The following is a 26,880-nucleotide window of genomic DNA, read 5'->3' as shown; positions in this document are numbered from 1 at the left end:
GCACCTGTAATCCCAGCTACTAAGGAGGCCGAGGCAGGAGAATTGCTTGAACCCAGGAGGTGGTTGCAGTAAGCCAAGATCATACCACTGCACTCCAAGCTGGGTGACAAGAGCAAAACTCCATCTCAAAAAAAAAAAAGGTACAGCAAAATCCAGTATACAGTATAAAAGAAAAAAATTGGTACACCTGTGTAGGGCATTTACTCTGACTGGAGCCTGTGGGACTGGCAGTTGCTCTGGGTGAGTCAGTGAGTGAGTGGAGAGTGAGTGTGAAGGCCGAGGATATGACTTTCCGCTCAACACCGTTCACTTAGGCTAGACTAAATTCATTTAAAAAATTTCTTTCTTCAGTAATAAATTGATCTTATCTTACTGTAACTTTTTTACTTTAAAAACTTTTTCATTTTTAAAAAACCTTTGGACTCATTTGTAATAACAAAGCTTATAAGACAAACACATTGTACAGCTGTAACAAATTTTCTTGCTTTAGGTCCTTATTCTATCAATCAGCTTTTTTCTATTTTTAATTTTTTTTTTTTACTCTTAAAACCTTTTCTTAAAAACTAATATACAAACACACACACATACACCTAAGATCACACAGGGTCAGGATCACCAATATCACTGTCTTCTGACATCTGGTCCCACTGGGAGGTCTTCAGGGGCAAGGCCACCCATGAAGCTGCATCTCCTATGATCACTGTCCTTCTTCTGGACACCTCCTGAAGGATCTCTCTGAGACTGTTTTACAGTTAACTTTTTTCTATAAAGAGAAGGCATACACTCTAAAATAATGATTAAAAAGTATAGGCTAGTAATACCTAAACCAGCCACATTGTCATTTATTATCATTACCCAGCATTATGCACAGTACATAATTGTATGTGCTAGATTTTTATATGATTGGCCCCACAGTGGATTTGTTTACAGTGCTGCATTGTGATGTTAGGACAGCTATGATGTCAATAGGCCATAGGAATTTTTCAGCTCCATTATTATTTTATGGGACCATTGTCATATATATATATACACACGCATATATATATATATACATAAAATGTGTATATGTATCTCTTTAAAGATAGCAGATACGGGCCGGGTGCGGTTACTCACGCCTGTGTTAGATATGAGTTCTAAATTTATCTTCAAAGAATAAATATGTCAGTATATTCAATTCTTTGCCTTCTACTTTTAAACTTAACTTCCTCGTAAAGCAACCTTTTTCAATTACCTGCTTCACCCTGACTCATTCTGATTACCTGCTGCACCCTGACTCATTCCGATTACCTGCTCCACCCTGACACTCATTCGGATTACCTGCTTCACCCTGACTCATTCCGATTACCTGCTCCACCCTGACACTCATTCGGATTACCTGCTTCACCCTGACTCATTCCGATTACCTGCTCCACCCTGACTCATTCCGATTACCTGCTCCACCCTGACTCATTCCGATTACCTGCTTCACCCTGACTCATTCTGATTACCTGCTTCACCCTGACTCCTTCGGATTACCTGCTCCATCCTGACTCATTCCTATTACCTGCTCCACCCTGACTCATTGCAATTTCCTGCTCTGCCCTTAACCATTTTTCCCACCAAACCACTCACCCCCTCACGCTCTTTAAATTAGCCAATCAGAATTAGTTTAGCCTGTGCAGTCTAACCCTAGCCAATAGGGAAAGGATACAGCAGCAGGGGCCATGTGCGTCAGGGATAAGAACCCCTTCCCCTCCCTGGTCCAAGTGTGCACTCACCATTGCCCCATCTGTAAGGGCGCACCCTTCTATAGAAGTACATTGACTTGCTGAAAATTAAAAAGAAAATTTTATATTCGAGTGCTATTTCTTTTGCAGCACCGAAACTTTATTTATAACAATTTGGGGGCTCCCTCGTGATACATTCCCCTTCCGGGCAGTCTCTGGTTCTCTCTGGTGAGGACGTGCGCCCCGCCGCCTTGTGGGGGCCTCAGGGGTGAGAAATCAGGACCCACCCAGTTCCAGGAATAACCCGAGCTCTCAGCAACGCAGAAAGAAACTGGCCAGCAACCTAGCTTAAAGGATCCTCACATACTGCAGAGGTGACTCTGTGCACAGACCAAGGAAGGAGAAGCCGCGGGAGCCGGTAAAGTACTTCCTTGTTGGTCAAATTCTGGAGGGCTAAATGTGTGTGTGTGTGAATGATCACAAACAACCCTACTTGTGGTGTTCTTCGTGTGGATGGTGACAAGTCCTACTGCTGGACAGAGTGAGTGGGACCTCTCCGGGGTTCCGTAGCTACCTCATATAGCTTAGGGCGGATCCTGCCATGGGATTTATACCGGCACTCTAACACTAAGAGGGGCCTAACTCTCCCTTGGGGGAGCAGCCAGAGAGGACAACACGAGTGGGAAGTGTGCAAGGGACCTTCAGAGGGGGAAAGGGAGGAAACAGGTCAACCTTCTAGAGCAGCAAGGCAAGACACCCCCTGGTTTGAGGGGTTGAGCCTTCCGCAAATTTCAGGGGGTTGAACCTCACACAAACCTCCTGTAGTAAGAAAAATATTCAGAACTCCCCTTTCCTTTCTTCTCAGGGAAAGAAAGAGTAGCTGCACTCCCACCGGTCCCTCCCCTAGGGGAAGGGGAAGGAGAGGGGAGAAGAGCAGCATAAGCGGCTGGCAGAGGCAGAGAAAGAGACAGAGTCAAAGAGAGAGAGAGGCAGAGAGAGAGAAAGAGACAGAGACAAACAGAGAGAGGGAGAGTAGTAAAGAGAAAACAGTGTACCCTATTCCTTTAAAAGCCAGGGTAAATTTAAAACCTATAATTAATAATTGAAGGTCTTCTCCCTGACCCTATAACACTCCAATACCACCTTGTTGCCAGTGTAAACAAGGTTGTAACCCAAAAGCCCTGAGGTGACTGACAACCCGTAGCCTTCCTAATCAAAAATCCTTAACCCAGTAACCCGTGGATGGCCCAAATGCATTCAATCTGTAGTGGAAACTGCTTCGCTAACAGAAGAAAGTAGAAAAATAACTTTTAGAGTAAACTTCATTGTGAGCACACCTCATCAGGTCAGAACTATCCTAAGTCAAAAAGAAAACAAAAGATAGCTTACTGACTCAAGAACCTTAAAGTATGAGGCTATTCTGTTAGAAAAAGATGATTTAACATGAACCACTGAAAATTCCCTTAACCCACCAGGTTTCCTAACAGGGCATCTAAATCTTAATTACCATACAAAGGTCCAACCAGACCTAGGAGGAACTACCTTCAGGACAGGACTGTAGATGCTTCCTCCTGGGTGATTGAAGGAAAAAGACACAATGGGTATTCAGTAAGTGATAAGGAAACTCTTGGAGAAGCCAAGTTAGGAAAATTGCCTAACAATTGGTCTGCTCAAACGTGCCTGCGAGCTGTTTGCACTCAGCCAAGCCTTAAAGTGCTTACAGAATCAGGAAGGAGTCATCTATACTAATTCTAAGTTAATATGGACTGAACGAGGTCTTATTAATAGCAAAGAATAATTGAAATCCCAAACTTACAAGGTTTTCAACAAAAGTAAAGTTTGCTAAAAGTTAAGAGTGTAACATGTATTATCCTAACGTCTAATCTTGTGGCCTTAGACAGTCTAGTCCACAGAAATGAAGGAAGTTCAATTTGGAAAAGAATGGTTATCATCTTTGAGAAAAAACAAAGGAGGGGGGAGAGAATTTATGTAAAAAGGAATATTATATGGTAAATTCTTGTCCTAAAATAAATGAACTGGTTGTTTAGAGAAAGGGATGTTTGCAACAAATCAGAAAGTTGAGGCATGTTGAAGAATTGTCTGTGAAAGTTATGGGAAAAAAAAGTTATAAAAGGGAATTTATGCAAGAAATGTTGTATAATTTAAAAGTAATTAGGCCTCCTGAATGTAAAACTATTGAAGAAACAGTTTATGTGTAAGGTGTGTAAGGAAAGTAAAACGTACTTTGGTAAAAGGATTATAAGGAGACATAAGAGTGTGGATTTTTACCTACATTAAATGGTTAAAAAAAAATTGTTTTAAAGGTTTAGGCAAGTTTTGAAATGTTAATTGAAAAGGAAATTCTGTGTGTAAACATATTGGGTAAAGTTAAAGGGATATCACCCAGTTTTTCTGAGAACTGGACATTAAAATAAAAGCACAACATGTTTTTCTTAAAGCACTAACCTGCTTTTTAACAAAAATTATAAAAGGTTAAAAAGCATCTATACAAATCTTACCATATGGTCAGACATTAAAAATTGGATAAATATGGCTACAAGATTTTATTAAAATTAACTTTAACATTAAAAACACACTAATGTAAAGGTGAAATTTAGCTTATCTGGTATAAATATCATACAGGAAGCATTGGCAAATATAAAACGGTGTTTGGCTTTCTTTGGTCTAAAAAATAATAAAAATAGGTGCTAAAGAAAATTTCTCAGCAAGAAGGTGCCAAGGACTATAAAGTCCATTGCTGATGTCCCCACATGTAAAACAAAAGATCAATTTCTTAGAAATTATATACTTGGTTTATCTTCTACTTTCCTTTCCCTCAAAACTAAAAGTCTTTTAGCACAGGTACCAGCCCTAGAATTTCCGGTAAACCAGCACCAGCCTGAGGATCACATTCTCATCAAAGGGTGGGGAGAAGGAAAACTTGAGCCAGCCTGGGAAGGACTTTACCTTGTGTTACTAATCACCGAGACTGCTGTTCATACAGTGGAAAGGGGATGGACTCATCACACCCGAGTCAAAAAAGCACCGCCTTCTCCAGAGTCGTGGGCCATAGTCCCAGGGGAAAACGCTACCAAACTAAAGCTAAGAAAAATTTAACTCTTTCATCTATTCTATTACTTTTTCTTCTTTCCTCACTCTATTGCTGACCATCTAGTTATTAACATAACCAAGTCAATTTCGCCTCAAACTATTGCATTTGGTGCTTGCCTTGTTATACCCTGTGGGAACTTGCCAAGTCAGAGACAGCTCTCTACTTCAGAAAAGCACCTCTGTCCCTCCTGACTCTTCTCAGATTAGGCATTAGTGAACTGGGACCATTTAATCCGAGGAGATTTTGATAAAGACCCCGGCGTCAACCAGGAGTCTTGCCCTCCCAATGTACAGCTTTTATGCCATAGTTGGTCCAGCATTCTGTGGACCACTAAAGAGCAAGGATGGACCGCCCCAACCTGTTTTTGTAATTTCCTAAAACTGTACATTCATGTTACTAGAGGGACAGCCCCCCACTAAGTGTCAGCTAAACCAGTGCAATCCTATACAGGTTATTATCTCGAATCCTCAAACTTCTTCCCCTTTTCTAAGCCGGTTCCCTCCTTTAAGCCAGTTTTATGGTATGGGGGTTGAGGTTTGAGGGACAGACCCTATTGGATTCTTTAAAATGTATTTCTTTGATCCCGCACTGCCTGCACCTTCTTCTAAGCCTTCTTCCAAAACCTCTCACAACGGAATAATTGCTCCTCCTCCATCTAACCACAAGACCAAGATGGCTGTCGTAGAAGTTAAAGACTTAAAACAAGTATTGGCAATTGAAACAGGTTACCAAGTTGCAAATGCCTGGTTGGAATGGATCAGATATTCCGTCCGCACTTTAAACGAAAGCAATTGTTATGCTTGTGTGCATGGCAGGCCAGAGGCCCAGATTGTCCCCTTTCTAGTAGGGTGGTCCTCCAGTTGACCAGGAGTGGGCTGCATGATAGCTCTTTTCCCGGATCCTACAGCCTGGAGTAACAAGTTGTGCCATGCTCTCTCTCTGCTATATCCCGAAGTCCGGCATCCTATGGGCCAGCCCCTGAGGGCCATCCAGCTTCTGTCTCCCAACACTAAGTTAACTTCATATCTCTCACGACAGGGAGGAAACAGCATTCCTTGGAGACCTGAGGGGATGCAGTGAGCTTAAGAATTTTCAAGAACTTATCAATCAGTCAGCCCTTGTTCATCCCCTAGTGGATGTGTGGTGGTATTCTGGTGGACCTTTACTGGACACTCTGCCGAATAACTGGAGCGGCACTTGTGCTTTAGTCCAATTGGCTATCCGTTTCACCCTGGCATTTCATCAACTAGAGGAAGGAAAAATAAGACATCATAATGCGAGAGAAGCCCCTTATGGGTCTTTCGACTCTCATGTCTATTTAAACGCAACTGGAGTCCCACGGGGAATACCAGATCAATTTGAATTCCGAAATCAAATAGCTGCAGGATTTGAGTCAATATCTTGGTGGGTGACAATTAATAAAAATGTAGATTGGATAAACTACATCTACTACAACCAACAGTGATTTAGTAACTACACTAGAGATGCTGTTGAAGGAATAGCTGAGCCATTAGGGGCTACAGGCCAGATGGCTTGGGAAAATAGGATAGCCTTAGACATGGTATTAGCAGAAAGAGGAGGAGTTTGCATTATGATTAAAACTCAATGTTGTACCTTCATCCCAAACAACATCGCCCCTGATGGAAGTATAACAAAGGCATTGCAAGGTCTGACTGCTCTGTCCAGTGAGTTAGCCAACAACTTACGGGTAAATGACCCCTTTACAGGATGGCTAGAAAAGTGGTTTTGTAAATGGAGTGGAATAATAGTCTCAATTCTTACTTCCCTTGCAGCAGTAATGGGTGTACTTATTCTTGTCGGGTGCTGTGTCACACCATGCATCCGTGGGTTGATGCAGAGGCTCATAAAAATGGCACTTACTGAAACCTCCCTTCACTATCCTCCACCTTATCCAGAGAAGATTCTTCTTTTAGAAAATCAAGCAGAACAACTAAGCTAAGACATATTAAAGAAGTTTGAAGAGAAAGAACTGTAAGGAAATGCAAGAGGAGGGGTTGTTAGATATGAGTTCTAAATTTCTCTTCAAAGAATCAATATGTCAGTATGTTCAACTCTTTGTCTTCTACTTTTAAACTTAACTCCTCATAAAGCAAACTTTTTCGATTACCTGCTGCACCCTGACTCATTCCGATTACCTGCTCCACCCTGACTCGTTCAGATTACCTGCTCATTCTCTGCCCTGAGTCATTTCAATTTCCTGCTGTATCATAACCATTTCTCCTGCCAAACCACTCACCCCGTCACTCTCTTTAAATTAGCCAGTCGGAATTAGTTTAGCCTGTGCAGTCTAACCCTAGCCAATAGGAGAATGACACAGCAGCAGGGGCCACGTGGGTCAGGGATAAGAACCCCTTCCCCTCCCTGGTCCAAGTGTGCGCTCACCATTGCTGCATCTGTAAGGGTGCACCATTCTATAGAAGTACATTGCCTTGCTGAGAATTAAAAAGAAAATCTTATATTTGAGTGCTATTTCTTTTGCGGCTCCAAAACTTTATTTATAACACCTGTAATCCCAGCATTTTGGGAGGCTGAAGTGGGCAGATCACCTGAGGACAGGACTTGGAGGCCAGTCTGACCAACATAGAGAAACCCCATCTCTACTAAAAATACAAAATTACCCGGGTATGGTGGTGCATGCCTGTAATCCCAGCTACTCAGGAGGCTGAGGCAGGAGAATTGCTTGAACCTGGGAGGTGGAGGTTGTGGGTGAGCTAAGATCGTACCATTGCACTCCAGCCTGGGCAACAAGAGCAAAACTCTCTCAAAAAAATATAAATAAATAAATAAAATAAAAAATAAAGATAGCAGATGTTACAAAATATTAAAAATCAGTGAACCTAGACGAAGAGTCTAGGGGTTTTCGTTGTATTTATCATGCACCTGTTTGTGTTGTTTTGAAATTTTTCACAATATAAAATTAGAGGAAAAGATATCATCTCTCATCTCAAGGAGCTTACAATCTACAGACCAAATATTTTTTTCTAATAAAAAGATGAAGAAGACTAGATCTTAGGGTCAGAAATCATTGGTGGGGCACGAGTAAGCTGCCTCCACAAACCCCAACTCCCAGAAGGTGGGACTGTGGCAGATGGGTTGGGTTCGCCTGAGCCCCCGCTTCTGCCCAGAGGTTTTAGCAGGTTCCTGAGGACTGGGCTGGGCCATGGGTGGGCACAAGGCAGACTCTTTGGCCCACAGTGGAGGCCCTCAGAAGACCAAGAGTCCAAATGTGGTAGGAGTTATTAAGAAATAATTTTAGGCAGATAGGAAAAGGGGTCCTTGGAAACTTTTCATCTCTTTTAAAGCAGCTCCTCAAATGTTTATTTATTTTCCTTTTTTTTTTTTAATATATGGAGTTTTGCTCTTATTGCCCAGGCTGGAGTGCAGTGGGCTATCTCTGCTCACTGCAACCTCCGCCTCCTGGGTTCAAGCGATTCTCTTGCCCCAGCCTCCCGAGTAGCTGGGATTACAGGCGCCCACCACCAAGCCTGGCTAATTTTTTGTATTTTTAGTAGAGACGGGGTTTCTCCATGTTGGCCAGGCTGGTCTCGAATTCCTGACCTCAGGTGATCCACCTGTCTCCGCCTCCCATCGTGCTGGGATTACAGGCATGAGCCACTGCACCTGGCCCAAACCTTTCTTGTCTAACAGGAAAGCCCCAGCATTTAGAGCCGGGCAGGCAACCTTTGATATGCAATTGCAGGCCATTAGAAACTGGTTCCACTCCAACATGATGATTCCCTCCCTTTTCTCCTTGCCCTCGCATTTGCCTGGCAACATGGCTGCCCCCCATATCCCCACGTGCCTAGAACATCATGGTGCCCTGCATTTGCATATTAAAAGCTAGGGTGGGAGGGCCAGTTTGTTTCCCGGGCTATGTGAATGACATGCCTAGTCAAACCAATCCCCTGAGCCCTATGCAAATCAGACACCGCCTGCTCCAGCCTCTTCCTGTACCTAGCATGTGGGGTCTTCTCTCTAGGCTTTGGAGCCCACCTCCCTCTGTCTCTGAACAGGGGAACTTCTTCCTTCTTTCTTCTCCCTTCCTTCTTGCCTATTAAAGTCTCCGCTCCTTAAAACCACTCCCTGTGTGTCCCTGTAGGTTTTTCCAATTTGACGTGAGATGAAGAACCTGGAGTTCCTTCACTCATCAGAGCCATATCACAGGGTCTCCTGGCCAAGTCCAAGGAGGACTGGAGAGGGGCCCCTGCTATGCAGAGTCCCTCACCTGAGCCTGTGCCAGGCCTTCGTGCTGGAGGTGCACCACAGATGCGGATGGCCCAACAGCACTTGGATGGATATTTAGTAAAGGAGAAAGCAGAGAGGACGCTTATAAATATAAATCAGAAAGAAGATGGACCAAACCCCCTGCTTTGTCTTGGCTCAGAAGGGCTTTGCAGAAGGCCATGGAAGATGGCATGGGATGCCACCAGCCAGCCAGATCACACGTAGTGATGTTCACACTCAAGTTGACCTTTCTGACACCTTGTGATGGTTAATACTGAGTGTCAATTCGATTGGATTGAAGGATGCAAAGTATTGTTCCTGGGTGTGCCTGTGACGGTGTTGCCAAAGGACATTAATTAACATTTGAGTCAATGGGCTGGGAGAGGTGGACCCACCCTCAATCCAAATGGGCACCATCTAATCAGCTGCCAGCACAGCTAGAATAAAGCAGGCAGAAGGTGGAAGGAGCTAACTTGCTGAGTCTTCTGGCCTCCGTTTTTCTCCTGTGCTGGATGCTTCCTGCCCTGGAACATCAAACTCCAAGTCCTTCAGCTTTTGGACTTTTGGACTTAAGCCAGTGGTTTGTCAGGGGTTCTCAGGCCCTTGGCCACAGACTGAAGGCTGCATTGTTGGCTTCCTTACTTTTGAGGTTTTGGGACTCGACTGGCTTCCTGGCCCCTCAGCTTGCAGACAGCCTACTGTGGGACTTCACCTTGTGCTCGTGAGTTAATTCTCTTTAATAAACTCCCCTTCATGTATACATCTATCCTATTAGTTTAGTTCTGTCCCTCTACAGAACCCTGACTAATATATGCCTCAACTTCAGGGTTCTTTGGCCTTCTTTTTTTTTTTTTTGATGCAGAGTCTCACTCTGTCACCAGGCTGGAGTGCAGAGGCACCATCTGGTTCACTGCAACCTCCGCCTCCCTGGTTCAAGCAAGTCTCCTCTCTCAGCCTCCCGAGTAGCTGGGACTACAGGCACGCACCACCACGCCCAGCTAATTTTTGTATGTTTAGTATAGACAAGGTTTCATCACGTTGGCCAGGATGGTCTCGATCTCCTGACCTTGTGATCCGCCTGCCTCAGCCTCCCAAAGTGCTGGGATTACAGGCATGAGCCACCATGCCTGGCCATTCCTTGGCCTTCTAATGCCTTCTATCTATGGGCCACCTCAGCTGGCAGTCCTAGATGATGCCCCCATCCTTGACCCTCACAGACGACTTAACTCCAACCTCTGCCCTGCTACCATCTGGATTTCCAACCCCAGAATTCTGTTTTGGTAGATTTGCTCCACCCCACATGCATGCCCTAAAGCTCCAGTGAGGCCTCAGTATAACTGGCAATACGCTCTTGTTGCTCTTGTTCTTTCTGAGTCCTGGCTGTATATAAAGCTGGGTCAGGGGGTCCTCAAGGTCCCTTTTAGTGGTAAAAATTATTAGACTTTACCTCTTGCTAATGCCCACATCCTTAAGTAAACTGAGCCCCTCCATTTTCTCCTTCCCGTTTCCTTCTCTTGCTGAGTAAGAATTATTTCTTTTCGCTGATAAAACCAACCCCTCTGTCATCTCTGTTCTTGTATCCTTCATGCATCTTCTGGGAGGTTGCTCTATTTATTCCCCTTTTCTCTGGCATCTTTGATCTCTCTTTGGGGGCTGTTAGTTCTCAAGCAGCACATCCAGCCTGCAGGGTTGGTCTCCAGCTTCTCAGTTATTCCTTTTAAGATGAATAAGAAAATGAGTAAAGGAAGAGGGCTGGCCTGGGTGCCCTGCTTGGGTCCAGGGCTTAGAGAGTGGGCAGACACTGAGGGGTGACCTTCCCTGCACAGCCAGTCCTGGGCAGGATGTGGGAAGGGCCGGGACGGAGCTCCCTGACACTGAGAAGGACAGGCTGGCTGGCACCGAGGTCTGTGTTAGGAAGGATGGAGAGACAGGCACCCAAGGGTCCTAGGCTCAGCTGGATGAACATCTGGTTTTGTGGGACCAGATGCCGAGTTCTGAATCCACTGTACCTACAAAGAACTTTTTGTTCTCCTCAGACATAGTTGAGAAGAAAAACTTGCTCAGTTATATTTTTTTTTAATTTTATTCTTTTTAGTGACAGGGTCTCATTTGCTGCCCAGGCTGGAGTGCAGTAGCATAATCATAGCTCTCTTCACCTTCAAACTCCTGGGCTCAAGTTAGCCTTCTAAGTAGCTAGGACTACAGGCATGTGCCACCATGCTCAGCTAATTTTTAACTTTTTTTTTTTTTTAAGAGATGGAGTCTTGCTGTATTGCCTAGGCTGGTCTCTAACTCCTAGGCTCACGCAGTCCCCCCACCTCAGTCTCCCAGACTGCTGGGATTACAGGCATTAGCCCCTGCACCTGGCTTTCAGTTGGTTTTTATTTTATTTCATTTTATTTTATTTATTTTATTTCAAGACAGAGTTTCTATCTTGTTGCCCAGGCTGGAGTGCAGTGGTGTGATCTCGGCTCACTGCAGCCTCTGCCTCCCGGGTTCAAGTGATTCTCCTGCCTCAGCCTCCTGAGTAGCTGGGACTACAGGTGCCCGCCACCATGCCCAGATAATTTTTGTATTTTTAGTAGAATGGGGTTTCGCCATGTTGGCCAGGCTGGTCTTGAACTCCTGACCTCAGGTGATCCGCCCGCCTCGGCCTCCCAAAGTGCTGCGGTTACAGGCGTGAGCCGCCGCGCCCGGCCTCAGCTGGTTTTTAATTACTCCCTCGTACCCAGGTGACCAGTGTATTTTCCGTGGCCTTTTCTTCGCCTACTATCACTTAAGCGGAAGGGCACAGGACTAGAAAGGGGTTAAAACCCCCAGTGATACTGCCAACCCAGGAGGCCCCCAACCGCGTCCTGGCTCCAGGGCTGCCATTCCTGGATGTCCCCAACCCCAGCTTTTCCCGTGCCTCCTGCTCTGCAGCCCAGAGGCAGCCACCCGGCCTTTATGTCCCGCACCGGCAGGGCCCAGAAACCAGCCTCCAGGGCAAAGGTGGTGGCGTCAGTCACTGCCTGTGTTGCAATGATGTGTGAAAAAATCCTCATGGAGTCAGTGAGTGACTCCATCCATCCTTCCTCATTCCATTTACCATCTTGCAAGTAAGACTAAAACTATAATTCGGAGCTCTTAGCTGTAAGAATTTTATACAATTCTGGAACCTTGAAAGTGTGTTTCCTCAGAGTGATCTGCGGTAAGCTGAAAGGTGAAAGGGGCCTGTTTTGGGCAGAAGTGTGACCCTTGCAAATTTGTATGTTGAAGTCCTAACATATAGTTACTGTATTTGGGTCTGTAAAGAGTTGATTGAGTTCAAATAGGCCATTAGGATAGGGCCTAATATGACTGGTATCCCCTGAAGAGGAGGAGATTGGGACACAGACAGGTACAGGGGAAGACCATGTGGACACAGGGAGATGACAGCTGTCTGCAAGCCACAGAGACACCAACCCTGATGACACCTTGCTCTTGGGCCTCAAACCTCTAGATCTGAGAAATCAATGTCTCTGGTTTGAGTGGCCCACCTGGCAGCCAGTCCTGTAAGTGGAGCAGAAAGTGTGGGAGACGGGGCTGTAAAGAGGAAAGAAAGCCACCCGGGCCCTGGACCCAGAGGCAGCAGGTCTGAGAGCGGACGGGGTTCCTAGAGGAAAGACCCTGGGAGGCCCCTGCCTGCAGAATGTACAGAGTACCCTGAGGAGGGGAGAATTACCTTCAGAAGCAGACAGCACAGGCGCTGCACCCCGCACAGCGTCACTGGCCACCCGGGAGAGCAGAGACAGGGAGCCACAACGAGCTGATGTCAAAGTGTGCGGAGCAGGAAGAGACCAAGCCCATTTCGCCAGCGGGCAGCTGGCCTGGGTGGCGCCCACAACCACAGGGGCACCCCACCGCCGTTAACATGCCATGAGCGCCAGGCCCAGGACACGGCCTTCTCAGCCTGGACAAGAATTGAAGTCGTGGGTTCTAGACCAGCTCCCCACACCCAGTTCCAATCACACCAGCATTTGGGCATCTAGAATATGAAGAAATCAGAGCTAGCTGATCTCTAGGGTCTCTTTTTGTACTAAAATTCTATAGTTTTGATTCATAATGATGATTCATAGTGAGTCAACAAGAAAAAGGTTAAATTATGTTCTGAATATGCTAGTTAGGAGAACAGGCAAGCCTGTACTCTATTGTGTAAATGTTTCAAAGTTATTGGAATCTGAAAACTGTTTTGTTGTTTCCAGATGAAAGGTTCAGATAGGGGAAAATTGATTTTAGTGGAGCTTCTCATCCCCCCTGGTGCACAATGAGCACAAACTGTACCTATCTCACTTGTGTTTCTTCTTCAGAGCCTTCTGGGCACAAGGAGATTGCAAATTGCGCCTTTTCAAGTTGAGAGTTTCGAGGCCAAAAGAACATATTATAATTGTGCGTATAATAGCACTTAAAGTTGACATGCCATATCTAATTCCAGTTTTCTTTCAGAAAATTGGATTTTCCCAGAAAACAGAAGTTGGGTATTTACAATGCAGTCGGCACCTTCTTTCCTAAGAACTCAGTGCTTTCCAAATACCAAGAATCTGTCTTAAAATTCTTTAAAAATTGCAATTATTGCAAAATTAAAAGAAAGGGATTTAGTGGTTGTATCTCTGTTCCCTCCCTCTTAGCTAAAGCCACATGACGTCTTTGTTTTTCAATCCACACCCCCACCAAATAGACAAGAACACCACCACAACACCCACAGATACCTACCCGCCTGACCTACAGCCGCAGAACCCAGGGCAGAGTCCAGAGGAGGGAGAGACCTGGTCTCTCCTGAGGACATGCCCCTCTCTCCACGGTTCTGTCTCCTCCACCCTCACTCACCAGGACTTTCCTGGACTCCGAGTTCTTCTTTCTTATGTTCTGTTGGTTTGGTCATTCCTTTCCCATTTTATCCTGAGATGAACAATCACACTTAAAGGAAAAGAGTAGTTCTCTCAGTCCGAATCCTCTGGCACACTGGACATGCTTGTTTTCTGTGACCTCCTGGGGAAGGGAGCACTCCCACAACTCCTGTTGGCGAGGGCGGCAGATGCCCAGGTTCATCCAGCTCCTCCCTGCCCTAAAAGGGTCCCAGGACTTCCCCCAGTTTTCTCTCAAGGGGGACACAAATCCTTCTGTTTACATTGACTCATTCAACTAACATTTGTCAGAACGCTAATGTTTTAGGTAGACTCATAGAATGTTGGAGTTTCGAGAAGACACAAAAATAATCTGGTCCAGTGCCTTCATTTGGTGGTGAGAAAACTAAAGTTCTGTCAACGAAAAGGGTCAAGTTCTGTAAAATATTTAAAGATATTTATTCTGTGCCAAATATGAGTGACCGTGGCCCATGACACAGCCCTCAGGAGGTCCTGAGAACATGTGTGCAAGGTGGTCAGGGCACAGCTTGGTTTTATACATTATAAGGAGGTATGAGACATCAACCAAATACATTTAAGAAATACATTGGTTTGGTCCAGAAAGATGGGACAACTCAAAGTTGGGGGTGGGGGGCCTTCCAGACTGTAGGCGAATTTAAACATTTTCTGGCTGACAATTGGATGAGTTTGTGTAAAGACCTGGAATGAATAGAAAGGGAATGTTCAGGTTAAGAAAAAAGATTGTAGAGACTGGCTAGGCGCAGTGGGTCATGCCTATAATCCTACCACTTTGGGAGGCCAAGGTGGGTGGATCACCTGAGGTCAGGAGTTCGAGACCAGCCTGACCAATATGGTGAAAACCCACCTCTACTTAAAATACAAAAAAATTAGCCAGGTGTGGTGGAAGGTGCCTGTAGTCCCAGAGGCTGAGACAGGAGAATTGCTTGAACCTGGGAGGCAGAGGTCACAGTGAGCCGAGATCGTGCTACTGCACTCCAGCCTGGGCAGCAGAGCAAGACTTCATCAAAAAAAAAAAAAGATTGTAAGATTGTGGAGACCAAGGTTCTTTTGAAGTCTTATCATCGTGGCTGCCCTTAGAGGCAATAGATGACAAATGTTTCCTATTCAGACCTTTAAAAGGTGCTAAACTTTTAATAATCTCATTAGGATTGGGAGGGCCTGGAAGAAAAACATCTAGCTATGTTAATAGAGATTCTTTACAGATGCAAATTTTCCCCCACAAATGACAGTTTTGCAGGGCCATTTCAAGATATGGCAAAGAAACATGCTTTGGGGTAAAATATTTTTATTTTCTTTGATTGTCTTGTAATGTTAAATGCCAGAGTCACTTTGGAAAGTAAGCCATGATGTATGGATTTAAATAAAATCCATCTGATGAGACTTTATGGTTTGTAAGGCATGACTCCCCAGACCACTTAGATAGGAATGTGGGCAAGATAAAAAACCTCAGAGTTTAGTCCTCAGTTCTTAGAGAAGGGACTTGCCCGATGGAGAGGTTATGAAATATGTTGCTGGCAGAACAGGACTGGAATCCAGCCACTTAAGTCCTGGCCTGAGCATGCGAGGGTTCCTGTCTTTTCCTGCTGGCCATAGCTTCAGGAGCAGGCTGTGCAGCTTCATGCATTGGGCATGTGCTGTTTCCAAACTTGAAGTCCCACCCTCTCCATGCCTGACACCCCAGGTGGTAGCTCTTGCACTGGCACATCCGTGGGCTTTGACAAGGACACAGTCTGCTCTTCTGCACATGACGGCCGTCAACACTGAGATACCAAAGACAGCTTTGTGTTCCCCCTTCACCCTTGGGCTTCCCTCCAGCCCAGGAAGCTAAGACTTTCCACACATCAAGAGACCAAAAGAGATGTTGCTTAGCTTTTGATTTTTTCTTTGAAAAAAAATCTGGTAAAACATAACATAAAATTTATCATTTTAACTATTTTTAAGTGTACAATTCAGTGGCATTAAGTACATTCACAATGTTGCACAATCACAGCTATTCCCTTTCAGAACTTTTTCATGATCCCAGACAGAAACTCTGTCCTCATTTGCTATTGGCTGCTCTGTGTCTTCAAAATTTCTATGTTGAAGTCCTATACCCCAGTACCACAGAATGTAATTGTATTTGGAGACATGGTCTTCCAAGAGGTCAAAACAAAGTCATTGGGGTGGGCCTTAATTTCATATGGCTGGTATCCTTATAATAACAGAAGATTTGGGCCAGTCGCAGTGGCTTATGCCTGTAATCCCAGCACTTTGGGAGGCCGAGGTGGGCAGATCACTTGAGTCAGGAGTTCAAGACCAGCCTGGCCAACATGATGAAACCCCATCTCTACTAAAAATACAAAAATTGTGGTGGTACATGCCTGTAGTCTCAGCTACTCGGGAAGCTGAGGCAGAAAAATTGCTTGAACCTGGGAGGCGGGGTTGCAGTGAGCCAAGATCGCGCCACTTCACTCCAGCCTGGGCGACAGAGCGAGACTCCGTCTCAAGAATGAATAAATAAATAAATAAATAAATAAACCAGGAGATTTGGACACAGCCACAGCCAGGCACAGAGGAAAGACCATGTGAAGACACAGGGAGAAGACAGCCATCTGCAAGCCAAGGAGAGAGAAATCCAACCCTGCTAGCATCTTGATATCGGACTTCTGTTCTCCAGAATTATGAGAAAATGCATTTTACCATTTTAACTATTTTTATTGAACTATTTTTATTTAAGCTAGCCAGGTTTTGGTATTTTATTATAGTAGCCATAGCAAACTAAAACACCATTAAATAATAACTTCCCGTACCCACTGTCTCCAGCCCCTGGTAACCTCTATCACACAGTCTCTATGACTTTGCCTATTCTAGGCCCATATAAATGGATTCATACAATATTTGTCCTTTTGTGTCTGGCTGATTTCATGCAGCATGATGTTTTCATGCTTTATCCATGTCGTAGCATGCGTCAGTACTTATTTCTATTTCCAAATAACATTAAATTGTATGGCTATGCCACATTTTGTTTATCCATTCATCTCTTGATAGATGTTTGGGTAGTTTCCATATTTTGGCTATTGTGAATCATGCTGGGTTAGCTTCTGACTTTCAAAATAAGCCAAGATAATAGTTTAAGAGAAAGAGATACAGGATTTCCAGAGCTGAGTTTATGTCATAAAAGAGTTTAGAAAATTCGTGATAATGTAAGATCCTGTTTTCGCTCTCTAGACTGGGGAGAAAATGTGTTCACCTTGCCAGCTGCCCAGACAGAGCTGATTTATCAAGACAATACAATTATAATGGAGAAAGAGTAATTCATGCAGAACCAGCTGTGTGGGAGACCAGAGTTTTATTATTACTCAAATTACTCTCCCCAAGCATTTGGGGATTGGAGTTTTTAAAGATAATTTGGCAGGTAGGAGCTTGGGAAGTGGGGAGTGCTGTTGGTCAGGTTGGAAATGGAATCATAGCGGGATTGAAATGAGATTTTCTTGCTGTCTTCTGTTCCTGGGTGGGATGGCAGAACTAGTTGAGTCAGATTACCATTCTAGGTGGTGGTAGTTGATCCATCCAGTGTATGGTCTACGAAATATCTCAAGCGCTGATATTAGGTTCTACAATAGTGATGTTATCCCCAGGAGCAATTTGGGGAGGTTCAGACTCTTGGAGCCAGAGGTTGCATGACCTCCAAACTGTAATTTCTAATCTTGTAGCTAATTTGTTAGTCCTGCAAAGGCCGACTAGTCCCCAGACAAGAAGGGGGTCTTTTCAGGAAAGGGCTATTATCAGTTTTGTTTCAGAGTCAAACCATGACCTGAATTTCTTCCCAAAGTTAGTTTGGCCTATGCCCAGGAATGAAAAAGGACAGCTTAAAGGTTAGAAGCAAGATGGAGTCAATTAGTTCTGATCTCTTTCACTGTCATACTTTCCTTAGGTATAATTTTTGCAAAAGCAGTTTCAATCCCTCCCTTTGGGTTTCAAAGCATCTTATTCTTAAGGTGTGGGCTATGCAGATGGGAAACAGCCATCAATCACTCTGGCTTCTTTCTCCTGACAGGGGGCATAGTGGGGGTAGGAGTTGACTCCCAGGTGAGAGGAGTGGAACCACTTTGTAGTTGTCTGAGTTTTTTGAGCATACTCACATAGGCTGGGCTGGGAGTCCAAGGTTTTTTTTTTCTGAGACGGAGTTTTGCTCTTGTTGCTTAGGCTGGAGTGCAATGGCGTGATCTTGGCTCACTGCAACCTCCGCCTCCTTGGTTCAAGCAATTCTCCTGCCTCAGCCTCCCGAGTAGCTGGGATTACAGGCATGCACCAACACGCCCAGCTAATTTTTTATTTTTAGTAAAGACAGGGTTTCTCTATGTTGGTCAGCCTGGTCTCGAACTCTTGACTTCAGGTGATCCGCCCACCTCAGCCTCCCAAAGTGCTGGGATTACAAGCGTGAGCCACTGCACCCGGCCTCCAAGGCTTTTATGACAAAAGTGTTAGTATTCCCATCTATAGTTTTAGCACAGATTTAAGTGGACAATGTACTATAAGGTAAAAAATGAGTTATAGGATAAGGAGTATAATTCTCAGTTTTAAAAGTAAAGATTTGAAAATATTAGTTTGGAGACTTGTAGTCTATAAATAATTTAGGATTAAGTCTAAATTGAAGAAAAATAAAAATAAAAACTCAAAAACAACCAACAACAGGTGTACTATAGTTTTTGGAACACAATTTTTCTCTTTCCAATCCTTATTTTTATTAACAAATCATAATAGGATTGACTTGTTTGTAGAATAAATTTTAGTTTTATTATACTTGGTCTGATTATTTGTATGAAGTGCAGTAAGAATAGTTATTTTTTACATAGGCTTTTAAATTTTGCTTTGATGGAACTCTGTTCCATAAGGAATCTCAGATAAGACTTTTTAAAGCCAAGTCCTGTCATGGGTTTGTAGCCTCAAGTACCTATGAGTTGGGTAAATTCCTCTTCTCTTGAGGTCCCAAGATACCATAGGGCACCTGGGCCTGTTAGAAAGTGACATTCTTTATTTATCACAGGTCAGGAACACTGTATAGGGACTGTGTGGACAAGGTATGAGGCCAGTTTTCTCAAGGGGTTTTTATTGGTTCTACAAGTCAAGTTTGATTCTTTAAAGGAAAGTATGTCATTCTAGTCAGTCTTGGTGAAATAACCAGTTTCTCTAATTGTGTTATGTTGTAAAAGAAAATATTCTTATTGTACTTATGTAAATAACCATATTGTCATAAGTAAAGAATGCTCACAAAATTTTTAAATTGTGGAGAAATTAGGTAGAGAGAAAAAATGTATGTTCTAAATTTTTTTCACAGGAGTATATTTTATTCAATTGTTAGAAGTTGGAAATAGTTCAAAAGAAAGGTTTCCTTGGATCTGAAAAATGAAAAGGATCAGCATTGTTTTAAGCAAAAAAAGTTAAAAAAGATTACTTCAGTTTTCTATTAGTTCAGTCCATTTAGGTAATTCTTATTCTGTTTGATATTCATTAATATTTTAGTTCTCTATGAGAGCCTTGAAAGGCTTTTTTCCTTTACTCTAATGTAATAATCTTTAAAGTTATCAGAAATTTGTACTTAAGAGCACTTGTCAGAGTTTTATAGTTGATCATAAAACCAACTTTTAAAGAGGACCAAATCCAGACAACAATTTTCTGTGGATGACAACAAAGTTTTAGGGAAGCCACAGTCAAAGACACAATTAACAGAGAAATTTGTTACCTCTGTGACACACAATAATTTAACATAACAATTATAGTTATTACTGATGACATATACTGAGGCATATCAGAATTATAGAAATCTTATGTAATTATGTATACACATACTAATAACAAATTTATATGCAAATAAACCAAAGAAAATTAAACACCATTTTATATTTTACGTTTCCTGTATGATTTTAATACATTAAGTAAGTCAAATATGTCTTTTTTGGACTTCAGGGGACCTAATTTTTTTTTCTTGTTTTTTACTTAAGTTTGATTTTGGGAGGTTGGTTAAATATCAAAGATTTAAAACACTGGAGATTACAAAATAGAATTCTAGGTTACCGTAAGTCATTTATTTAGCCAAAGTGATAACTCAAAAATTTTAAAAAGGAAAAAAAAACCTTTATTCTGATGAAGAGGAGACTTGGCTTTCTAAACAAGTCCCAGTGAATATAGTTTGAGGCCAGTTTTCTCTCCTCTTCTCTCTTCCCTCCCCTCCCCTTATTTTTGTAGTTTTCTTAAAAGGCAAACAAAAATCTTTCAGTGTCTCTCAATATTATGTAAAACTCTTTTTCAAAAGAAAAAAACAAATTTCATGGATGTATTAGTGCATCTTTAATGCTAAAGCTAGTTTTTGATAAAATTCTATAAATGTATCCAGTTTTAATTAGTTTGACTGTAAGATTTGTATAAGCCTTTTATAACCCTTTATATTTTTTTATTGCAGAACAATGTTCTCAGAAAACTCTGTTGTGCTTTTATTCCAATGTCCAATTTATGGGAGAACTGAGTAATGTCACTTTAACTTTAGTCAATATGTTCACACACAGAATCTTTTACAACTAATTTTTTATAAACCTTCCACAACTTGTTCAAACCTTTAGATCTTTCCTATCCTGCTTAAAACAATCCTTTAAGCCTCTAAACTGAGGCAAGAAATCCACATTCCCAGATCTTTTTATAATTTTTTTATACCAAAAGTACATTCTACTTTCCTTACACACCTTGTGTGTAGAAGTCTTTATTCAGTAGTCTCAAATACGTGTTAACACTGTTAACTCTTAGTAACTTTATTTTTGTTAAAAAACCTGGTTAGTAAGTGATAATTATATACCAGGTATGGATGTGGGACACCAGAAGGTCTGACTCTTTCCAGTATAGTTAGGGGGCACAGTTCATTTCACATGTCCCAGGCCTTATTTAGTTGTAAAGTAGGCAAGTTGTACAGTAAGAGTCATAGTGGCATTTTATCAAGTATTTTATGAAGCATTTAGGAGGCCTAACAACCTTTGAATTGTACAACATTTCTTGTATAAATTCCCTTTCACGAATCTTTTTACAACTTACACAGACAATCTATGATATGTTTGGACTTTCTGTCTTGCCCTAAACATCTCTATTTTTAAATAGCCAGTTAATTTACTTTAGGACAAGAATTTACCAGACAAGATCTTTTCTTATATAAAATCTCTTTTCTTTATAACCCTTTTTTTTGTGTATATTTAGGGGGCATGGTTAATTCTACATTTCTCTAGGCCTTATCTAGAATTTAATGGCTTCAAGGTAGATAAATTAAATAATTTTCAAAAGTCAAAGAAACAGTTTATGACCTTAAAGCATTTAGTAAACTTAATATCTGACCTAATTTAGACCAAATGTCTAAATTTTGAAGACGTTTATATTTTACCAATAACCTTTAAAACTGTCTTTATTTCTGAAAGATTGTTAAAGTCATGTGAACTAAAAGGCATTAGTTTTAATTTTCCTGACAAAATATTTAAGTGTTTATTTCTTTAAGCCAATTAATTAGAGCTCTTTTATATAAACAATACATACACAACACATATAAATACAGACAGAAGATCCAGTAGTTGTAAGATTTTTTTCACTTGCCAATTCCTTAAAGTTTCTTAATTGGATTACTGGTTTCAGGGTGGAGCCCTTCAACAGACGGGGTCAGGAGAGCCTGTAGTTTTTAGGGGATAATAAGTAGGCACAGCTGGAAGGGAAAAAACAAATCCCTACAGTTAAGGGTCCCATGTTTATATTGTATCCCAGATCCTAAAAAAGAGGGAAATGCCATTACACACCAAGGCTAAAACTTCTCCCATAATGTAAAGAAATTGCTGATGCTCCCAAAAGTCACAGAAAAAAAAATGTTAGGTAACATAATGTCAAACCAACCAAAGCCTTAGATTTTGAGAGAAATTTATCTGCTTCCAACTTCCAGGGTTCCATGAGGAAAACAGAGGGTTTTTTTGTTTGTATTTTGTTTTTTCCATAATGGAAGTTGTTAGAAATTATCTTAGGTTTTCTTGTGTGGGCATCAAGGTTAGCAAGAGGGCAAAATGGAGAAATAATTCAGTTGACTGAGAAGAAAAACAAACAAATAAAAATTTTTTCTTAAAAACAACCAAGATCTGAGAAAAAAAAATAAAGCCCTTTAAAAAAATATAGAGAGAGAGTGCTTGGATATCTGTTTTTAATTAAGCTGATTTTAACCATAGAGCTCTTTTAATTTTTTTTTTAAATTTCTTATGATCAGACTCTAGTCAGGACAGACAATATTTCTGGCTTCTGAACTTTACTGCAGGTAACCTCTTATGTGAAATTAGTAAGTTTTTTTTGTTTGTTTGTTTGTTTTTTGAGACAGAGTCTCACTGTGTTGCCCAGGCTGGAGTGCAGTGGCGCGATCTCAGCTCACTGCAACCTCTGCCTCCCGGGCTCAAGCGATTCTCCTGCCTCAGCCTCCCAAGTAGCTGGGATTACAGGCACAAGCCACCACGCCCAGCTAATTTTTGTATTTTTAGTAGAGACGGGTTTTCACCATGTTGTTCAGGCTGGTCTTGAACTCCTGACCTTGTGACCCTGCCGCCTCAGCCTCCCAAAGTGCTGGGATTACAGGCGTGAGCCACTGCACCGGGCCAAAATTAGTAAATTTTAAATATTAGGTTATTACCTAACCAGGGACACATAAGGTCTCCCAAAGAGATAGTAAGCAGTTTCTTTTCTTTTCTTTTCTTTTTTTTTTTTTAAATAAGTTTGAGAATCTTCCCACAGGTAGTTCAGACAAAGGAAAATTCAAGACAGGAAATCAAAAGCTATCCATGGTGGGAAAATAATCAATAAATGGCAAAAAGTTACACAAATGAGAAACCAGAAAGGAGTCATTCTCTAAGCCAAGATTTGAATCTGAGCACTGTCAGTAGACAAAGCTTTGGCTACTGAGCTACAGAATTGAGTGGGTTTCATTGTTCACTCCAGAAGGAGTCTAGAGGAGTCCATTTCAAGCTTGCAAAGGCTTTTAACTGTTCAAGATGATTTTTAGGGCTAACTATGACATGAACCCAAAATTCCAGTCCTCTGGATGGCAGAGACTAAGGTATCCCCACATGGTCACAAGGTTAAGCTCTCAAGGACATAAAGAGAAACTTCATCTGGTTTTGGTTTCAGGGACCCTCAGTAAAGTTTGTAACTGACCAGCCTGCCAGGCTGGCTTGAAAAGCAGGCTTATAGGGGTTCTACGCTCACATTTTATCTTGTGATAACCCTCTCTCCATTACAGAACAATACAGAAAGGCAAATTCTTAGCACAAAGTATACCAGGTTTGTTATACTCCAAGACTAGTCCCACAGATCCTTTTTTTCTATTAATCAAATCTTTTCAGAGGAGACAAACAGTGATGTTTACCATTTGCACTCAAATACACACACATACACACGCAGAGAGAGAGAGAAGGTTACCAGAAACTTGGCTAGTAAAACATTCTTACCCTTTTTGCAAGCACACTAGGTTTCCAGGTTCCCTTTCTCTGCAGCTTCCAGAAGAACAAAGCGGCTTTTGATTACCTTGTTCCCTGTGTCTTAGCTCTGGGGATCGAGCCACTTAACCAAAAAAAAAAAAAAAAAATTCACCCTTTTCTGTTTTATGGAACCATAGGCAAAAGATTCTTAATTTTGGAAGATGCTGCCCAGCAGGCTATGGGGAATCAAATTAACATTTTCCATCCCAGTAAAAGACATGTAACAAAATACACTAACAAAATATACATAATAAATACATTAAAATAACTACACAAAGTACACAAAACAGGCAAAATACACATAACAAAACAGACACTATTCACCTCATTCGGCACCCAGTATCGACCTGGCAAGGCTCAAACTTTCTCCTCTTGGTCCTTGTCTGCAGTTCTCTCACAGGGAGGAGAGATAACCTTTGGCCAGGGACCCAGTGACGTCTTTAGGCAGCACAGAAGAACAGACAGCCTCCCTGAGTTAGGCCTGCTGGACGTCCATCAGCAATTCCTCTGCACGTATAAACACACATACGCACAGAGTAAGATGAACAGAAGACCTTCACGACACAGATTCTAGACCCAGTCTCAAACCAAGAGTATTCCTTCAAACAAGTATCCTATTCTCTGTCCAATTAGACACCCCATAATAGGGCTACAGACAGACACCCTGAGAGGCTACCAAGAGACAGCAGCACCTCCAGAGACGCCAATAAATCAGGAGAAGGAAGAGGCTGTTGGCAGCACCGAGGATACTCACCAAATCAGACACCCCACCATGCGGCTACAGACAGACACCCTGTGATAGGGCTACAGTTATGGGATGTTTCCCCAGAATTATTTTTCCATTACAGTTAAATCCATGTTCATTGGGTCAGCAGTGCTCCGCTGGTAGAGGCCGGTTCCAGAGTCAGCCCCCAGTTCAAGAGAACTAGGTACCTGCTTGGGCTGGCCTCTGGATCCATTGCCAGAGGGGGGCTACCAAACCATGGGCAGCCACGGGCAATCCCAAATGAGCCCCCAAAATTGTAACTGCCAAATGGGTTCACCTTGCCCACTGCCCAGAACCGATTTATCAAGACAGGAGAATTGTAATGGAGAAAGTCATTCACGCAGAGCCTGCTGTGCAGGAGACCAGAGTTTTATTGATATGCAAATCAGTCTCCCTGAGCATTCCAGGATCAGAGTTTTTAAAGACAATTTGGTGGGTAGGAGCTTAGGAAGTGGGGAGTGCTGACTGGTCAGGTTGCAGATGGAATCACGAGAGGTCGAAGTGAGGTTTCCTTACTGTCTTCTGTTCCTGGGTGCGATGGCAGAGCTGGTTCAGATTACAGGACTGGGTGATGTTAGTTGATCCATCCAGTGTAGGGTCCACAAAATATCTCAAGCAGTGACCTTAGGTTTTGCAATAATGATGTTATCCCCAAGAACAATTTGGGGAGGTTCAGGCTCTTGGAGCCAGAGGTTACATGACCCCTAAACCATAATTTCTAATATTGTAACTCATTTGTTAGTCCTGCAAAGACACACTGGTCCCCAGATAAAAGGTGGTCTTTTCAGGAAAGGGCCGTTATCTGTTTTGTTTCAGAGTCAAGCCATGAACTGAATTCCTTCCCAAAGTTAGTTCGGCCTATGCCCAAGAATGAACAGGGACAGCTTAACGGTTGCAAACAAGATGGAGTCAATTAGGTCTGATCTCTTTCACTGTCATAATTTCCTTAGTTATAATTTTCGCAAAGGCTCTTTCGAGGGTGTCAAAGGAGACCTACTGCCTGTTGCATCAGCCTCCTGTGTGGAACCTTGACTGGGGGCAGCAGAACCCCCCAGATAGGTGGATATCCCAGCATGGGGGAAATGAGTGCCCCATGTCCATGGGGACCTCCCAGGGTTCCCCAAGCCACCAGGACCTGAGTAGGGGTGCCTGGGTGGGGGCCAGGCAGTGGGGATTGGGGCAGGTTTGTAGAGTTCTGGTGGTCCTGGGAGGGCTCAGGGAGCAGCCAAATGCCTTCCCTGGTGACAGGAGTGAGCCCCTTCCTCTAATCAGAGGGACAAAGTCATACAGGCCAAGACATTAGCAGCCGTGTGTGAGAGCGGCTAGGATTTTTTCACGGCACCTCCCCAGGGGTCTGTGGGGAGGAACTTCCCAAAGGACCATGGGCATCAAAGGTGTGGCTTATCTAATTCAGATGGAGAAGCAAGGCTGAGGTTCCAGTTCAAAGAAGGATAGCCAGAAACGTGAAAGTCCTTGATATTTACAAAGGCTATTTCTTTCTTCTAGCCCTGATTCAAACTCCTTTCTGCCTATTATCAAAAGAAAGAACAAACTTGCATAATTTAAACATATTTAAAAATAGGTTCCCTTTTGACTAAGAGAGATTTAAAAAGAAAAATTAGTTCCTCTCTGCCTGGAACAGATATGAGGGAAATGTCAGTGGATGGAAATGGCAATGAGCTCCTCTGGAATTCTGGGAGATTGGACATGGACCCTGGAGCGATGCTGACATTTATTCATCATGGTTATCTGCATCATGGTTTTCTCATCCGTAAAGCAGGAAATGGGGACAGATGTTCCTCATGGCCCCTGCATGGTTCTGTGTGGGGAACTTTATTTGTGGGTGTGGAATTTTTTTTTTTTTTTGAGACAGGTTCTCACTGTCACCCAGGCTGGAGGTCAGTGGCATAATCATGCCTCACTGTAGCCTCGACCTCCTGGTTCAAGTGATCCTCCTGCCTCAGCCTCCTGTGTAGGTGGGACCACAGGTGTGCAACATCATGCCCGGCTAGTTTTTTATTTTTGTTTTTGTAGAGATGGGGGTGTCCCTATGCTGCCCAGGCTGGTCTCAAACTCTTGGGCTCAAGTGATCTTCCTGCCTTGGCCTCCCAAAGTACTGTGATGACAGGCTTGAGCTACGGCACCTGGCCCTGTGTGGGGAACTTTTTAATAAATATGCTCTAATACAGTCATTCTCCAGGTACATCACCTGGAAACTTAGAAAGGTAAATTCTCAGAATTCCCTCTGCCAACTTACAGAGTCAGAAACTCTGTGATTTAACAAACCCTCCAGGACATTCTAGTGTATTCTGAAGTTTTATAGCCACTGCTTTAATAGAAACGAAAAGTTTGAGTCACAGAATGTGTGGAATAGGGCCTCACCACTTTACTATTAGGCAGATAACAAAGAGTAAATAATACTTATTTCAAAAAAAATCACAGAACATTGGAAAGCATACATTAGACACATTAGCTTCAGTACCAGAATAAGTAAGTTTTCACAAACAATTTATAAATATGTAATATTTTCCATTTAAGTCAATAATAATTATTTTTAATTACATTTTATTTTGTAGAGACAGACTCTCACTATGTTGCTCAGGCTGGTGTCAAACTCCTGGGCTCAAGCGAT

The 26,880-nt window shown here is 42.7% G+C and overlaps 3 annotated features.

The window, feature by feature from the left end:
- Nucleotides 806-2,005: an enhancer, noted in NCBI's record as "P300/CBP strongly-dependent group 1 enhancer chr6:161736020-161737219 (GRCh37/hg19 assembly coordinates)". NCBI's record gives its function as "activates an origin of replication core promoter dependent on BRD2, BRD4, P300/CBP, MED14 and CDK7 cofactors, with strong dependence on P300/CBP, by STARR-seq in HCT116 cells {active_cell/tissue: HCT116}" and the evidence as "EXISTENCE:reporter gene assay evidence [ECO:0000049][PMID:35650434]".
- Nucleotides 12,439-13,638: an enhancer, noted in NCBI's record as "CDK7 strongly-dependent group 2 enhancer chr6:161724387-161725586 (GRCh37/hg19 assembly coordinates)". NCBI's record gives its function as "activates an origin of replication core promoter dependent on BRD2, BRD4, P300/CBP, MED14 and CDK7 cofactors, with strong dependence on CDK7, by STARR-seq in HCT116 cells {active_cell/tissue: HCT116}" and the evidence as "EXISTENCE:reporter gene assay evidence [ECO:0000049][PMID:35650434]".
- Nucleotides 24,390-24,902: an enhancer, noted in NCBI's record as "OCT4-NANOG-H3K27ac hESC enhancer chr6:161713123-161713635 (GRCh37/hg19 assembly coordinates)". NCBI's record gives its function as "activates a minimal SCP1, AML or CMV promoter by ChIP-STARR-seq in primed H9 embryonic stem cells {active_cell/tissue: H9 hESC(primed)}" and the evidence as "EXISTENCE:reporter gene assay evidence [ECO:0000049][PMID:30033119]".

The sequence above is a fragment of the Homo sapiens genome, chromosome 6 (genome assembly GCF_000001405.40).
Source record: "Homo sapiens chromosome 6, GRCh38.p14 Primary Assembly".
In the NCBI taxonomy this organism is placed as follows: domain Eukaryota; kingdom Metazoa; phylum Chordata; class Mammalia; order Primates; family Hominidae; genus Homo; species Homo sapiens.
Note: the sequence above shows the minus strand (reverse complement) of the source record. Positions and strands in the feature narration are given on the sequence as shown.